Source organism: Homo sapiens, chromosome 11, assembly GCF_000001405.40.
Source record: "Homo sapiens chromosome 11, GRCh38.p14 Primary Assembly".
NCBI classification, from domain to species: domain Eukaryota; kingdom Metazoa; phylum Chordata; class Mammalia; order Primates; family Hominidae; genus Homo; species Homo sapiens.
Genome location: NC_000011.10, coordinates 131,512,222 through 131,527,432, shown reverse-complemented (window position 1 = coordinate 131,527,432; position 15,211 = coordinate 131,512,222). Strand labels below are relative to the sequence as shown.

General features: G+C 44.7%; 1 protein-coding gene across 21 annotated transcripts in view; it reads right to left on the bottom strand.

Moving 5' to 3' along the window:
* NTM (neurotrimin) overlaps positions 1 to 15,211 on the bottom strand; it is a 966,208-nt gene that overhangs the window by 809,390 nt on the left and 141,607 nt on the right. The window lies entirely within an intron of this gene.

The following is a 15,211-nucleotide window of genomic DNA, read 5'->3' as shown; positions in this document are numbered from 1 at the left end:
GAATATCCAGGTGGTGGTCATGTGCAGTGAATGCAGAAGAGAACTGTGATCATAGATGTCACCAAGCTGTTGGTTATAGAACTAGAGATGAAGTAAGGGGAGAAGGGTCCAGAATATAAAATCCAGCCCCCAGGGGTGGGGGAATAAAAACTGTTTTGTAGGGAATGAGGGCATCAGCCAAACAGGTTGGGTTCAGAATAAGGAGACCCAAGGGAATGAGGACAGGAGCCTTAGCCATTTAGAACCAGCACATACGACGAGAATAGCTAGTCAGCTCTGGGAGACCAGGGGGGTTACACATAGGTACATCAGACACAGTGTGGGCAAAGTTCCTCCAGATTTGATGCACTGGCTGGGTGAGACTTGTAAGAGGTTGCCAGGCTGACTTGTCATTGCTCGGACTAGATAGGACTGAAATCACCAACTAAACTGCTCCTGGCTGCAACATGGGGGGACAGTATGAGGAGCAATTTGCACAAGGGAATACCTCGAGGTCTCCCTCATGATACTTCAAAAATCGAAGGGTCTTTCCATTTGTGTATGGAGAGAAGTATAAATATTTTTTGTCACTTTGGCAGCAGTCTTTTGTGACCACACCCATGCATAAGACATAACTTTTCCCTCTGCTCCAGCCCCTGATTCAAATCAAATGCTGACACTTGTTAATATTTCTCTAAATGCCACTGTGGTGGAGATGACCCTCCCTCACATTCCTTCCTGTTCCCAACCTGCCCCCAATATACTATTGTTTTTAAGCAGCTCACCTGTTAATTAAAAAGTAGGAATCAATTGGCCTCATCTCTCCATTCCAGGCTCCTGTGCACACAAGGATTAGAGCTGCCTCTACTTAAGTCAATTAGAGATAAGGAGAAGCTGACATTTCGACAACCTACCTTATCACACTGCTCGAAAACAGCTCAGATTAAAATGTACAAAGATGATTTCTTTACTCCTTTTCCTCTTCCTTTACCTTCTCTTAATTATTCCAAAGAAAGCTGACAATCCAAGCGGACATTGGAGATGCACGCTCCCATCTATGGTGATTAGCCCACCTGAAACACACACCTGACCTGTCCTACTGTGAGTACCACTGTGGACCCACACCTGCCCAATCAGCCATCCCCAGCTGGGGTGCAGAGAAATACTTAACCTGTGCCTCAATTTAGGGTGACTGTCTTTTCTACTGCGCTGCAGTAAAGTGGGGGTCAGACTGGGAGTCCAAAGACATGGGCTCATATTCTGACTGTGTCATTTATGTGCTAACTCACACCTTGGGCTCTTGGCTTCTCTGAGTCTCAGTTGCCTTCACTGTGAAATGGGTCAATAGTTCTTGCCTAATGGCACTGTTGTGAGGATTGAGCCAGAGCACACCTGCACCTGTACAACAGGGAGCCTGGTACAATGGATGCTTGATAAATGTTTACGTTGAATCTCAACACCGTGGGATGCAGCCTAGGTAATTTCTGAATGGAGCCATGAGACAGTTTGCAAGTAACTCCACGTAGCATAGAAACGTTTACTTGTTGATCTCAGGCATTTCTTTCCAGGCAAAGTGTATGTATATATACATGCACACACACACACACATTACTGTTAAGTAACCCTACAAGTTTGTTATTGTGATCTCCATTTTAAAATGAGGGAGCTGAAGATCAGAGAGATTAATTACCTTGCCAAAGTTCATACATCTAGGAAACAGCAAAGCTGGGATCTGAACCCAGAGCCCATTATCTTCCCATTACCTCATGCCCCAGTGATGCTGAATAATCACGGGAAAGCAAAGCAGTGTAGTCGGATGACCTTTTCATTCATTCACACAGTGAAGAGAGCGCCACCTTACTGACACCAGTCTGTGAATGTATTAGCAATTTTCCAAATTTGCCCAGTCCATTAGCTAGGCTCCTTCTGGCTACCTTTGACTCCTGGCCCACCCCGACTGTGCTAAATGCTGGTGTGGCCCCTGCACAGAAGCACTAGCTATCTTCTGGTCCTTCTCCACATCATCATTCAGCAAACCACTTCCCTTGTCTCGCCTGCAAACCCTTTATGGCAACCACTGGTCAACAGCAGCTGACATTCAAACAGAGCTTCCAATGTACAGGATGCGATTTCCGGCGCATTATAAGCATTGCCAATGCCCTGTGATGGGCACCGGGGTCAGCACCCACGTCCCACTTCAGAGAGAGATTGTTGCTCAGCTGCCCAGAGTGCCCTTGGCAGACAGGTGGTTATGGCTCTCAGCCCTTTTGGGGATCAATCCTGCTGGAGAGAGACCTCTCTGGGGCCATGTCCCTTCCCCAGGTGGCCACATTCAAGATTAAGCGTAGAGGTCTGGCAATACCCGCCCCCTGAGAATTACTCTGATGAGTAATTACTGCCCCCTTACTCCATTCAGAAATTACTTAGGATACATCCCATCACCTTAAACATTTATCAGGCATCCCCTGTACCAGGTTTCCTGTGTGCAGGTGCATGTGTGCTCTCACTCAATCCTCATGACAGTGCCATTAGGCAAGAACTATTGACCCCTTTCACAGCTAAGGCAACCCAGGCTCAGAGAAACCAAGGGCCCAAAGAGTTAGGTCATCCTCACTCCAGCCCCTGCTGTGGGGCTGGTCCCGGCCGCCACTGATCAGTGTCATAGTCTGAATTGTCCCTCTGTTCATTCCTGCTTCCTCTTCCACCTTTCCACAGGTGCTGATTTCAAGGGCACTCCCCAATCAGCAACTTATTTGCTAAATTACGTCTCAGATTCTGTCTCCTGGAAAACCCAGTCTCAGACTCAGGCAGGTCTTACTATTAACCACACTTTACAGAGGAGAAAACAGTTCAAGATTAATTGGTTAATCAGCGGCTATGGCTAGTCACTTTTACTATTTTCTACTTCAAAACTGTTCTTCTGTGCTTATCCTTTCTAGAGCATGACCCTGGTGGATTAAAGATGACTATGAGTTGTTTGATAGTCCTGTCGCTGAGAGGTGGATTACATTTCCCCTTTCTCTGAGTCTGGGCTGGGCTTGGTGCCTTGCTATACTAACAGAGTGCAGCAGAAGGGATCACATGTCAGCACCAGGCCCAGCCTGGGAGGACCGAGAGCCCCCACCTTCGTCTCTTGGAGCTTGATGCTGCCACTGAAGGCCCAGCATTCCTACTGGAAAGATCGTGTAGAAACATCTTGAGACACCACAGAGAAGAAGGAGCCCATGTGGGCATGGCCTTCCACAGCAGCAAGGCGTGAGAGCGAAGCTGTCTTGGATCCCCTAGACCAGCCCAGTCACCAGGCAAATGTCATTGCTAGGCCTAACTGAGACCACATGGAGTGGGAGGATCACCAAGCTGAGTTCTGCCCAAATTCCCCATCCACAAATCAGGATGGTTTCTTACACAACAGAAGCTAACTAGACCAAAGGCACACTACCCGAATTATTGCTGAATTATGGGAGAAGTCCTCTGCAGTGTTCTCAACCTTGTCCCCTCTGCAGTCTTCCTCCCTCAGCTATGCTACCCTGTTCAGCATCTTACTCTCCCCACCCACCCCATTTCTCTATTTTCAAACTGCACAGAGAATTCTTTCACTTCCAGATATACCTTAATGTCTCTTCTTCCTTCCTTTTCTTCTTCTTATTCTTTTTTTTTTTTTTTTTTTTTTTGAGATGGAGTCTCGCTCTGTCAGCCAGGCTAGAGTGCAGTGGCTTGGCTCACTGCAACCTCTGCCACCTGGGTTCAAGCTATTCTTCTGTCTCAGCCTCCTGAGTAGCTGGTATTACAGACATGTGCCACACACCTGGCTAATTTTTGTGTTTTTAGTAGAGATGGGGTTTTCACCATGTTGGCCAGGCTGGCCCTGAACTCCTGACCTTAAGTGATCTGCCCACTTCGGCCTCCCAAAGTGCTGGGATTACAGGAATCAGCCACTGCGCCTGACCCTTCCTTTTCTTCTAAACTTCATAAAGGAGTGATCAACATACACTACCAACACTTCTACATTACTGCCTTCCTTGTTCACTTTTGAATTCTGACTGCTATCTTTACCATGTTTTGTTATGAAAGTCTTGAAGTTTAGCTGTTATTTTTGAATCATAAAATCTGGTGACACTTTCTTACTTTAACCATCATTTGCTTTTGGGAAGCCATTCTCGAAACCCACCTCTGACAACTAGTATTACAAACTGTCAGCTAATGTCCTAGGAGTTCTCTTGACATTTATTTGTTCACTCATTCATTCAACAAATATCTTTCTAGAACCTACACTGAGATACTATCTGTGATCTCATGCTCCCTGGCCACTTAGCAGAAAGAATGGCCAATCCAGAAAAAGGGACACTAAGTCGGCTGGTACAACCACAAGCAATCCATCTCAAAGATGATGCACTCAGATTTTAAAAATGTGGTAGATGCTTTCATGTTTCTGAGGCATGTGTGGTCAGGAACTGTTTTCCTCTAGTTAACCCAGTAACTCATAGCTCTGGTTACATATTAAAATCACCAGCAGAGCTTTTAAGAAATACTAATGCTTGGTCGTCACCTCTGGATATTCATCAGTCTAGAGTAGAACCCAGGCATTAGCATGTTTTAAATGGCTGCTAAGTGATTTTAACGTGCAGCAGCTGGGGCTTGAAGGCCATTGACTGACCTAAAACCCTAATAATACAGCTTAAGATCATGCTTGCTGCTCTATAATCTATGGAGGCCAAGGAAAGCACTGAGTGGAGTCAGGGTTTTGGACACTTGAAGTTTTCCTGAAATCTCTTTGCAGCTTTTCTGTCCCAGGTTAAATAATCCCAGTTCTTCCAACCTTTCCACGTAGGTCGTATTTGCAGCACTTTAATCACACTTTAATCTTGTTTTACTTTAGCTCAAATAGGTCTGTTTCCCTGGAGAAAGCTTTTCCAAGGTAGATGTCTCTGTTTTACAGAAACACATAACCCTGATAGCTCATCAATTCAACTGTGAATTGCTCAGTGGTTGTTATGAAATACATATCAGTAAAGATCTCAGCAGACCATTTTATTTCTAGACTTACATTAGCTAAAAATGAAACACCACAAATATCAACAAGGAGGCTTTTTTTTTTTTCTTGTTGTTCTGCAAATACTGTTAGCAATGCATTTGGTCACCTGACTTACAAGCCAACTGAGAGCGTACAGGGCTTGACTTAGCTCTCCAAAATCTTTTCTCATTCTCCCAGTAATTGCAGTAATCAATGGTCCCAAGGAAATTTGAACTCACTCAAAAGTCAGCCGGGGATGCTAAGTCTGGGAGGGGAAGAGATCCCGGATGACCCAAGCAGTAAATTAACATACGTTGACGAAGCTGATTAGCAGTCATAAAATTATACATCTCTCTAATCCAGGAACCCAGAGTCACTTTCCACTGTAGTCTTTTCATATATCTGCCTGGCGATCCTTTCATATAAATCACGTCAATTTAAATTTTAATTTGCTTATAATTTCAAAGGATGTTTGACCTATTATTATATTAGAAATGAGAGAAACATGAATTTATGAAAAATCCAGGCATAAAGGTCTTCAGCAATTACAAAGGGGGAAGCAGATAGTAGAGAGGAATGGAAACAGGGGGTCTTAATTACATTCTGAGGACAGGGCAGCATGTTTCAACTCATATATGCACAGAGTCCTTTTGGAATGCTGCTCTAGTTTGGACAGCTGACCCTCCAAACCTCATGTTCAAATGTGATCCTCAGTATGGGAGGGGAGCCTAGTGGGAGGGGAGCCTAATGAGAGGTGTGTGGGTCATGAAGGTGGATCCCTCTTGAATGTTTTGGTGCTGTCCTCACAGTAATGAGTGAGTTCTTGCTGTTAGTTCCCACAAGAGTCCCCCTACGGGCTGGTCATTTAAATAAGCCTGGCACCTCGGGCCCTTGCAGTCCCAGCTACTCGGGAGGCTGAGGCAGGAGAATGGCTTGAACCTGGGAGGCGGAGCTTGCAGTGAGCCGAGATTGCGCCGCCACTGCACTCCAGCCTGGGCGACAGAGCGAGACTCCCGTCTCAAAAAAAAAAAAAAAAAAAAAAAAAAAAAAAAAAAAAAAGACTGGCACCTTGCTTCTTCTGCATTTATTTATTTATTTATTTATTTATTTATTTATTTATTTATTTCTGAGATGGAGTCTCACTCTGTCACCCAGGCTGGAGTACAGTGGCACGATCTTGGCTCACTGCAACCTCCACTTCCCGGGTCCAAGTGATTCTTCTGCCTCAGCCTCCCAAGTAGCTGGGACTACAGGCACATGCTACCATGCCCGGCTTATTTTTAGTAAAGATGGGGTTTCACCATATTGGCCAGGCTGGCCTCAAACTCCTGACCTCGTGATCCACCCACCTCAGCCTCCCAAAGTGCCAGGATTACAGGCATGAGCCACCACGCCTGGCCAAGCACCTTGCTTCTTTCTCTTGCTTCCTTCTTCTTACCCGTGATCTCTGCACACACTGGTTTCCCTTCCCCTTCCATCATGATCGGAAGCTTCCTGAGACCTCAACGGAAGCCAATGCTGATGCCATGCTCTTGTACAGCCCACAAAATCATGAGCCAAATAAACCTCTTCTATTTATAAATTACTCAACCTCAGTTATTCCTTTATAGAAACACCAAAATGGACTGAGACATATGTACTTGAAAAAAAGAATGCTGAGTAGGTAGGTTTTGGAGATTTTTTTTTTTCTTTTAAGGGTAGTGTACATATAAAGCTTCTAAGTCGTAGAGATAAAGTAGGAATCCATTTCATGCCAACAATGACTGGCAGCTGTCATAAGACACAAAGGATAGAATCAAAGTTAACCATCATAGATCAACTGTATTTGGAAGGATTTTTAAAAAGCTCTTCCTGCTCCCCAAGTTTCTAAGAAAGGGTCAAGATCTAAGGATGTTCATAAATCAAATTGCGTGGCTATCCTGGACACCACAGAAGTATGCTGGACAGACATCAAAGAGATGAGACATTTGTTGTTTCCCAGAGTCCTTTGAACTTCTTGGTGTAATGCCGCCCAGTGGACTCCTGGTTCCAAGACCCACCTCTACCACTTACAATCTTTTTGATCTTAGAAAAATCACCTAAACTTTTCAGCTTAGTTTGTTTACCTTAAAATTGATAATATCTTTATTGATAATATCTCAAAAGTTTTAATATCTGATTATCAGGTAGACTTAAAAGAATCTTTATAAAGCACCTAGAACTATGCCTCCATGTGCTAGATGTTTAATATATATTATTATTTTTGGAAGTCCCTTCTTTGCCAGCGCTAAAGGAATTCTAGGTCACTTAGAAATGTGATGTTTTATTATCTGGAGATTCTATAATGCAACTGTTGACGACGATAGAAGTTGAAGACTCTATTCACCACCTTTTAGGTACTAACCCAGAAATAAAACTAAAGGTGCAGCCTCCTATGAAGACCTGAAAGTAAAGAAGAGTTGGGCTGGTCATAACTACCTCCACAGCTCCCTAACAAGCAGGTTCACCTCTTAGGTGCTAACCAAGAAATAAAACTAAAGATGCAGCCTCCTATGAAGACCTGAAAGTAAAGAAGAGTTGGGCTGGTCATAACTAACTCCACAGCTCCCTAACAAGCAGGTTCACCTCTCGGGTGCTAACCCAGAAATAAAACTAAAGATGCAGCCTCCTATGAAGACCTGAAAGTAAAGAAGAGTTGGGCTGGTCATAACTAACTCCACAGCTCCCTAACAAGCAGGTTCACCTCTCGGGTTCTAACCCAGAAATAAAACTAAAGATGCAGCCTCCTATGAAGACCTGAAAGTAAAGAAGAGTTGGGCTGGTCATAACTAACTCCACAGCTCCCTAACAAGCAGGTTCACCTCTCAGGTGCTAACCCAGAAATAAAACTAAAGATGCAGCCTCCTATGAAGACCTGAAAGTAAAGAAGAGTTGGGTTGGTCATAACTAACTCCACAGCTCCCTAACAAGCAGGTTCACCTCTCAGGTGCTAACCCAGAAATAAAACTAAAGATGCAGCCTCCTATGAAGATCTGAAAGTAAAGAAGAGTTGGGCTGGTCTTAACTAACTCCACAGCTCCCTAACAAGCAGGTTCACCTCTCAGGTGCTAACCCAGAAATAAAACTAAAGATGCAGCCTCCTATGAAGACCTGAAAGTAAAGAAGAGTTGGGCTGGTCATAACTAACTCTACAGCTCCCTAACAAGCAGGTTCTAGGTCCCAGTGAAGCCTCAAATGGGAGAAGAGGGCAGTGGAAGGGAATAAGAGAGAAGAGATATGTCCCCTGGCTCTCAATTTGAAACTCAGGGCTTCTCCTCATGAAGTGGCCCTGAGGAGAGCGCATCTGATTCTTGTTCAGAAGAGCAGGTGAGGCATAATCTATTTATCTAGCACTACTTCAAGACATCACCAGGTAAAACTCATTTCTATTCATTTAGTCTCTACTAAAGGCATTATAGTTTGTTTATTGATACTTCTGCAGAGAAATAAAAAGGAAAATGCACCTACAATACAGGACATTTGTGGGATGCTGTATCTGAGATGCCCTGAAATAGGCTTTGGAAAATGTGTTGTTGTCCTAATTAGTTATTAAGGTCGGGTATCTATGGAAACAGCCATATATTTGTCCTTAAGCCAGACAAGCACTTACTCATTTAGTAGCATGCAATCCATACAAATGAAGCCTGGTGCTTATACACATTAGCTTCTTGCAACACATACAAAAATAGAGAAAGCAGGAAAGATGAGGAAAGTATGCAAATGGAGGAAAGAGAGCCCCTTACACCAGCACAGTGTCATGCCTACAGTGAGTCACTGAGGAAATCCAAAGGCCAAAGAGTGAATTTATTCACACAGCATCAATTTTGAATGAGTCCAGTGAAATTCCTCCCCAATGGTGTAGCAGTGGAAGGAATTGTCCTATTAATAGCATGCTTCAGCTACATTATGGGTTCAATGGGTTAACTGGGCTTTTGTTGGATGGCCTTGTAGCATAGTAACCATTTATAACATAATTTCTATGGGAAAATGTGTACTGAATTCTAAGTACTCAGCTTAAAAAAAGGACTTCTGAACTACAGCCCACGTGCAGAATGAGGACTTCCTGCATCCTCTGAGAAACAGCAAGGAGACTTAGAGGGAGCCCTGGGGTAAGCATCTGAAGATCCAGGTTCCAGTCCCCATTCTTGCACTTACTGCATGGGTGACTCGAGTCTTTTAACTTCCCTGAGCCTCCGTTTCGCTGTCAAATCAAAATCCATTTTGTCTAGAATATAAGCTCCACTAGGACAGGAATCATGCCTGCCTGTCTTCATCACCTTGGCTTCCCCAGCCCCTCAATCAATATTTGGTGAGTGAAGGAATGAAAGAATATTTGCCCACCTCTCAACACTCTGAGAATAATCAAATGGGGTTATGCGTGTGAAAACAATTCAAGAAGCTATAAAATGGAATACAAATGAGAGACATGATAATTATAACCTATTGTTACAGACAGAATGTCACCTTCTGTGCATTCCATGTAAATGAGGATGTTTGCATTAGTGCTAAGTTGAATGGCTAAGCTGATATCCAGAATATTGAGTGGTACAGATGGACCATGCAACATTGGGTATCTGAGCTAGAGGGAGGGGTGGGTAATGAGAAAGCAAGCAAGGGAAGTTCAAAAGAGTGGGGGCTGGCTGGAAAATGAACTAGTTAGATCCAACATCTGAAGGCAGGTCAATACAGGTACAGGAATCTTGTAAAGTCTCTTCAAAGACCATGCTGCGGACTAGAAGGCTATTCTGCCTGAGCCAGAGCAGACACAAAGAAGAAACTAGACCAGAGTCTGGATTCCACACTTATCAGCTTAAAAACAAAAGAAGGGAAAAAAAAGAGTGATGCTTGAGTTATCAATTAGGATGGCTGTGGAGAGGGCATATCTGAGACACAGGATTTGACAAGTAAGCAGAAAGAAGCAGGACTCATTCAGGCCTCTACTCCCCCATTTTCCAGCCTGCCTATTGTTTTGCCTCATAATAATTCCTCTTGTAATTATAACATCGGGATGCACTCAGTGCTGATATTCAGGCCATGCCGTAACCAAGGATGGAGGTGACAGTAAAAAGGAAAGGGAGTTTCTGAGTCTGTGGTCCTCAGTACAGAGACCCTGGAGTCTTTGTTTCACATCTGATTCAGGCAGCCAGATTCTGAATTTCCCACACATTATTCAGAATCTTTTGCCAATGTCTTGGGTGTAGACACAATCAGGCATCCATTTGGAGGTCATGATTGGGATATCTGTAAAATGAGACCCAATCAGCAGCTCAGACCTTGCACACAGCATAGGCAATGAGAAGTCAGACATTGTGATCACACCAAAAAGATTCAAGTCTGCTGCAAAACTGGGAAAGACTTCCCAGTCAGGCTGTTTATTCTTCCTTGAAGCATGCCTAGAGCCACTCCCATTGGTGACCCTTCCCCCATGCCCATCTTATTTTATCAGTAGAGATAGCCACTCTATATGTCATATTCTCTTTTCCTGCTCCAGCAACCAATCTTGAAATGCAATCTAAAGTGGCCCTATATCTACTGTGGAAACCACTTAAAAGAGCCCAAGAGGATGCACAAAGATTCGTTACCACTAAGGATGAGAGTGAAACAGAGAGAGACAGAGACAAAGAAACGACCTTCTCTCTGAGCAGTCACACAAGAAACGCTTTTATGCTTTTCCAGTCCTCCACCTCCAATGCCCAATTAATACAATACATATTTTCTCACAATGGAGGTGTAACTTTTTTAAAGGGTCAGGGGGCCAATTGTGGTGGCTCATGCCTGTAATCTCAGCACTTTCAGAAGCCGAGGTGGGTGGATTACCTGAGGTCAGGAGTTCGAAACTGGCCTGGCCAACATGGTGAAACCCCGTCTCTGCTAGATAAATTAGCTGGGCATGGTGGTACGTGCCTGTATTCCCAGCTACTTGGGAGGCTGAGGCAGGAGAATCTCTTGAACCCGGGAGGCGGAGATTGCGTGAGCCGAGATCGCGCCACTGCTCTCCAGCCTGGGCAACAAAAGTGAAACTCCATCTAATAAAAAAATAAAAAGAAAAGGGTCAGGGTCAACTTGCACAAAGGGCACAGGCTTGAGATTCAGAAGACTGAATTCAGAAGCCCTAGAAATGTACTACACGCCCCTGAATTAATAAACTAAGCATCTGTTCTATGTATAGAATATAGGAATTACATAATACCTGCTTCTCTGCTACACAGGACCATTGTGTAAATCGATGAGATAATATATGTAAAAGCACTTTGAGAAATTAAAAGCATACTTCAGAAATCAAACATTGATTAGAGGACATCCATTCACTCAAGTAATGCTTTCTCTATAGCTAGTGTATTTACTTTTAAAACCCCAACAAATACACATCATTATTAAGGGGATGAATAAGTTCCATTTAGCTCATTGGAAAAGTGACAAAGTTTAGCAAGTTGTTTATATTTTCTAAACCCTAATTCCATATAAGTCCACATGCAAAAGCCTTATCTTTGTGACTATTTCTCCACCTAGAAGCTAAGCAGAGAATGGACTCGTTTTCCAGCCTTACCATGGTAGTACATATGATAATTTAACAAAAATGACTGTAAATTAGGCTGGGCATCCACAGGAAGCTTTGTATGTGCAATCTCCCTGAAACGTTTCTCATTTCTACACTTAAACACCTGATGCAGCTAAAGTAGCCAGATGAGCAAGAGAAAATCTCCGATCCTAGGGTCATAACTCTGTAAGTTTATTACATGTGAGTTATTGCTTTGAACCAGGGTTGGCTTCCAAGGCCAGAATCACACATCCCTAAAATAATGTCCCTAGCACCAGCAGAAAACGATCTTTACAATTCTCGCCTTGAACCCATGTAGAACTCCTACCTCATTGGTTACTTGTTTTCTGGACAGGGGAGTCCATCCAGCTCTGTAGTTCACCTTCAATTATCCCCAACATGTAACGGCTCATGTTCATGCTGGGGGAGGATAGAGCACCAAGTTGCTGCTGCAGGTGATTAACTGCTCACATGGAGGCAGGAAAGGCCATCTACCACAGGGAGAGGACTGGGCTCCGAGAACATTCTCTAATGCCACGATTTCCCCACGCTGAGTTCTGGGCACCACTCTAGGTAATTGACAAGCACCATCTACGTGCAGCCTTGCAAACACTGTGGGTGAGGCCAAGTGGTTCTGATTCTTGGTACAAATCCAGAATCAGAAGTAACACTCACCGTGTGCAGTGGCTCATGCCTATAATCCCAACACTTTGGGAAGCCAAGGTGGGAGGACTGCTTGAACCCAGGAGTTTGAGACCAGCCAGGGCAACATAGGGAGACCTCATCTCTACAAAAAAATTTATAAAACTTAGCCAGGCATAGTGGCACATGCTGGTAGTAGTTCCAGCTACTCAGGAGGTTGAGGCAGGAGGATCGCTTGTTCCCAAGACGTCAAGGCTACAGTGAACTGTGATCATGCCATGCACTCCAGCCTGAGTGACAGAGGAAGACCTTGTCTCTCTCCCTCTCTCTTTATGTGTATATATAAAATACAAGGCCGGGCATGGGGGCTCATGCCTGTAATCCCAGCATCTTGGGAAGCCAAGGCAGTAGGATCGTTTGAGCCTTAGGAGTTCAATACCAGCATGGGTAACATAGAGAAACCCCACCTCTACAAAAAGAATACAAAACTTAGTCAGGCGTGGTAGCATGGACCTGTAGGGACCTGTAGTCTCAGCTACTTGGGAGGCTGAGGTGGGAGGATTGCTTGAGCCTGGGAGTTCAGGCTGCAGTGACCCGAAATTGTGTCACTGCACTCCAGCCTGGGAGAAAGAGTGAGACCCTGTCTCAAATAATTAAATAAATAAATAAATAAATCACAAAACAAATTTAATTTTTTTAAAAAAGTAACACATAATACAGTAAGGAAAATACAGATACCTGAATTCCACCTTCCTAAAGATTTGGATTCATTCATCTTGGGTGTGGGCTCCCGTATCTGCCTTTTAAAATTATTGAGAGGTGACTCTGAGGCTTTCTAAAGACTGCCAATAAGGCCAATATTAATAATACCTAATGTCACTTGACGGCCATTACGTGCTGGGCACTCAGCTGAATGTTCCTTCTCCTTGGAATTTTACAACACTATCAAGTAGATGTTTGTATTACCTACATTTACAGATAAGGAACTTGAGAACTTAAAAAAGTCAAGGGCCTAGCCAGAGACTGGACATATCAGGGCGGATACTTGCACCCCATTTTCTCTGACTCTGAAATCTGTGCTCTTCCCACCTCAGCAGCTATAGCAGAAAGTGTTTATGTGAGAGGCAATTTTCTTATGCTTTCTCCCCTGGGACATTAGCGACGCTGTCAGCTGACTTACCATTATTATTATTATCATTAATAATAATTTCTCCTGGTGAAGCCTTAGGCCAAGGCTTAGAAGCATAAATTCCAGAGGCAGAAGCCAAGGTAAAGATGACACAGAGCATGCTTCTGTCAGGAGGGTGAGGGTCTGCTGGGAAGGGACATTTGCTTCTCTTCCCCTGGGGCTCTGACCCTGGAAAGCCACTTCCCAACACATAATTAAGATAAAACTTAACCTCGGGGCCTTGCACTACCTTTATGAATCTCCTTCTGAATCTCAGTCTGCCAGGGACCTTTACACAACAATACTTATAAATATTTTCAGCTCCCAAGGACTCTGTGGATGCAGCCAGGGACACTCCACCAGGCCCCTGTATAATCAATATTATCACACTGCTAAAAGATAATCATAATGCTTTAGATCCTTAAAGCTCCTTTGAGCCTAAAAAAGTTCAAAGCGCTTTCATATCAGTCTTTTCATTCTGTCTTCCCTGTATCTGACAGTGGAAGAAGGACTTGGGAAGGAAGCCGCTCTCAGTCCTTAATCCTGTCTCCAAGAAACTTGAAATTCCTGCACCTTCCCCTCATGTCACAGGCTCAGGGAGGAGCTGACATTGACTTGTTTTCAAAGGACTTTTTTTTTCTGTCTTTGGTCAGTATTTCCGGTCTAGCTGGCTTGGCCATCTCTGTGGTCTGTGGACCTCTTGGGTGCCTCCTATGGAAACCCCAGAGGATGGGTGCAGAGCCTGTAACTCCTACTCTGAGGGCTTGACACAATGTCTCCTCCAAACTGTGGGTGAAGGGAGGCTTCCTGGCAACAGCAATGATAGTTTATATTGTTTTGTCTGGAAAGCAGGATCTACTGGTGGAAAGAATTGATCTCACTTTGCACTTTGGGTTCAGGCCTTCAGCCACGGAAGGGCCACAGCTTACGCGTTCACACAGTGAAGGTTGTGAAGCTCAGGGACGGGGAGCCATGGAGCCTTCCTGGAGAATGTGAGGAGGATGCAGTGTCACAGGCTGAAATGATCCAGTCACGGAGCAAAACAAGGTATTAAGTGCAGCTGGAGAAGAAGGGGCTGGGAAGAACAAGAGGAAATGTCCCGAGATCTCAGTGGTGCCAAGCGTAGGACTGAATAATCGGGTGCTAAATTGAGCCATTGATCAAGACCAAGGGAGGAAAAACTTTGCAGAAGCAACTTTGAGTCAAGACAGGGAGAGGGTGGGGGGCATGGGGCTGTCCCTTCAGGAACCACACAGGTGTCTGGGGGTCTGCCTGCATCCTCGTCATGGATCTTGGTCTGGAAGGTGGCTAAGGAGACGAGAGAGTGGAAGCGAGAAGGCCAGGCATCCCGTGGCCCAGCCAGCACATGCTGGGGCTGGGAGAGGATTCCACGGCCTGCTCTGTTTTCTCCATCCCTCCCTGCTGCCATCAGCTCAGGAGCTCAGAACTGGGCTGAGTCTGCTGTGGGGGGAACAGGAGAAGCCTAGCTGAGAGAAACTGAGGGCAGTAGAGAGGGAGGAGCACAGCCCTGGCATTTGACTTTGGCTTCTGCCCTGGTGGGTGGGAATCCTCCAGGAGGCACCCAGCTGTGGGAGTCGGCCTCTGGGCTTTCCATCCAGGTGAGATCACATGGGCCTGTCTCCAGGCTCTGGTTTGAGGACAGCCCCTGCCTGGGCTGGCAGAGCAAGGGCAGCACAGAGCAAGGGGAGCAGACGTGGTCTACTGAGGCCTTGCAGTAGGAGCTGGCAGCAAGGACATGGACAAAGATTTTAAATATATTCAGAAAGTGAACAAATGAGAGACAAAAGAACCAACTCAAAAATGATTTTTCCGTAATCAATTCAGTACATGCCAC